Here is a 2,820-nt window from a genome sequence, read left to right as displayed (position 1 = left end):
TTCTTGTTGAATTGACCCCTTTACCATTATGTGATGGCCTTCTTTCTCTCTTTTGATTTTTGTTGGTTTAACGTCTGTTTTATCAGAGACTAGGATTGCAACCCCTGCCTTTTTTTGTTTTCCATTTGCTTGGTAGATCTTCTTCCATCCTTTTATTTTGAGCCTGTGTGTGTCTCTGCATGTGAGATGGGTTTCCTGAATACAGCACACTGATGGGTCTTGACTCTTTATCCAATTTGCCAGTCTGTGTCTTTTAATTGGAGCATTTAGTCCATTTACATTTAAAGTTAATATTGTTATGTGTGAATTTGATCCCGTCATTATGACGTTAGCTGGTTATTTTGCTCATTAGTTGATGCAGTTTCTTCCTAGTCTCGATGGTCTTTACATTTTGGCATGATTTTGCAGCGGCTGGTACTGGTTGTTCCTTTCCATGTTTAGTGCTTCCTTCAGGAGCTCTTTGAGGGCATGCCTGGTGGTGACAAAATCTCTCAGCATTTGCTTGTCTGTAAAGTATTTTATTTCTCCTTCAATTATGAAGCTTAGTTTGGCTGGATATGAATGCTGGGTTGAAAATTATTTTCTTTAAGAATGTTGAATATTGGCCCCCACTCTCTTCTGGCTTGTAGAGTTTCTGCCGAGAGATCTGCTGTTAGTCTGATGGGCTTCCCTTTGTGGGTAACCCGACCTTTCTCTCTGGCTGCCCTTAACATTTTTTCCTTCATTTCAACTTTGGTGAATCTGACAATTATGTGTCTTGGAGTTGCTCTTCTCGAGGAGTATCTTTGTGCCATTCTCTGTATTTCCTGAATGTGAATGTTGGCCTGCCTTGCTAGATTGGGGAAGTTCTCCTGGATAATATCCTGCAGAGTGTTTTCCAACTTGGTTCCATTCTCCTGGTCACTTTCAGATACACCAATCAGATGTAGATTTGGTCTTTACACATAGTCCCATATTTCTTGGAGGATTTGTTCATTTCTTTTTATTCTTTTTTCTCTAAACTTCCCTTCTCGCTTCATTTCATTCATTTCATCTTCCATCGCTGATACCCTTTCTTCCAGTTGATCACATCGGCTCCTGAGGCTTCTGCATTCTTTACGTAGTTCTCGAGCCTTGGCTTTCAGCTCCATCAGCTCCTTTAAGCACTTCTCTGTATTGGTTATTCTAGTTATACATTCGTCTAAATTTTTTTCAAAGTTTTTAGCTTCTTTGCCTTTAGTTTGAATTTCCTCCTGTAGCTCATAGTTTGATCATCTGAAGCCTTCTTCTCTCAACTCGTCAAAGTCATTCTCCATCCAGCTTTGTTCCGTTGCTGGTGAGGAACTGCATTCCTTTGGAGGAGGAGAGGTGCTCTGCTTTTTAGAGTTTCCAGTTTTTCTGCTCTGTTTTTTCCCCATTTTTGTGGTTTTATCTACTTTTGGTCTTTGATGATGGTGATGTACAGATGGGTTTTTGGTGTGGATGTCCTTTCTGTTTGTTAGTTTTCCTTCTATCAGACAGCACCCTCAGCTGCAGGTCTGTTGGAGTTTGCTAGAGATCCACTCCAGACCCTGTTTGCCTGGGTATCAGCAGCGGTGTCTGCACAACAGTGGGTTTTTGTGAACTGCGAATGCTGCTGTTTGCTCGTTCCTCTGGAAGTTTTGTCTCAGAGGAGTACCCGGCCGTGTGAGGTGTCAGTTTGCCCCTACTGGGGGGTGCCTCCCAGTTAGGCTGCTCAGGGATCAGGGGTCAGGGACCCACTTGAGGAGGCAGTCTGCCCATTCTCAGATCTCTGACTGCATGCTGGGAGAACCACTGCTCTCTTCAAAGCTGTCAGACAGGGACATTTAAGTCTGCAGAGGTTCCTGCTGTCTTTTTGTTTGTCTGTGCCCTGCCCCAGAGGTGGAGCCTACAGAGGCAGGCAGACCTCCTTGAGCTGTGGTTGGCTCCACCCAGTTGGAGCTTCCCGGCTGCTTTGTTTACCTAAGCAAGCCTGGGCAATGGAGGGCGCCCCTCCCCCAGCGTCACTGCCGCCTTGCAGTTTGATCTCAGACTGCTGTGCTAGCAATCAGCGAGACTCCGTGGGCGTAGGACCCTCCAAGCCAGGTGCAGGATATAATCTCCTGGTGCGCCGTTTTTTAAGCCCATCGGAAAAGTGCCATATTCGGGTGGGAGTGACCCGTTTTTCCAGGTGCCGTCTGTCACCCCTTTCTTTGACTAGGAAAGGGAACTCCCTGACCCCTTGCGCTTCCTGAGTGAGTCAATGCCTTGCCCTGCTTCAGCTCGCGCACGGTGTGCTGCACCCACTGACCTGTGCCCACTGTCTGGCACTCCCTAGTGAGATGAACCCGGTACCTCAGATGGAAATGCAGAAATCACCCATCTTCTGCGTCGCTCACTCTGGGAGCTGTAGACCGGAGCTGTTCCTATTCGGCCATTTTGGCTCCTCCCCTCCACATAAAGCATTTAAATTGGCAGCCACTCCCTAGCCTCTGCATTCTCTCTTGGTAGTGGGATGACTGAGAAGAGCCATAGATTTGCATGATGTCATTCATTGACTGAAACATTATGTTTCAAATTAATTAATTTCTGAAAATTAATCAATTTAATGTTTTCCAAAATTAATAAATTGATTTCTAAAATTATTTCTTATATTGAAAAAAAATCTATAAATATGTGTGGGAGAGGTCAGGGCGATAAGGACCTATGCTTCTATTTAGAAGGGTCAGTACAGAAATACACACACACACACGCATATACATACACAAACATCGTTAAGACCTCAGTTGATTTGGTGGAATCATTTCAGAGGAAGAACATCTTTATTATACTCGACTTCTT

At 44.6% G+C, this 2,820-nt stretch overlaps 1 annotated feature.

Moving 5' to 3' along the window:
• Nucleotides 1,938-2,438: an enhancer, noted in NCBI's record as "NANOG-H3K4me1 hESC enhancer chr14:80554864-80555364 (GRCh37/hg19 assembly coordinates)". NCBI's record gives its function as "activates a minimal SCP1, AML or CMV promoter by ChIP-STARR-seq in naive H9 embryonic stem cells {active_cell/tissue: H9 hESC(naive)}" and the evidence as "EXISTENCE:reporter gene assay evidence [ECO:0000049][PMID:30033119]".

The sequence above is a fragment of the Homo sapiens genome, chromosome 14, assembly GCF_000001405.40.
Source record: "Homo sapiens chromosome 14, GRCh38.p14 Primary Assembly".
Lineage (NCBI taxonomy): Eukaryota > Metazoa > Chordata > Mammalia > Primates > Hominidae > Homo > Homo sapiens.
The sequence above is the reverse complement of the archived record's forward strand: the minus strand, read 5'-3'. Positions and strand labels throughout refer to the sequence as shown.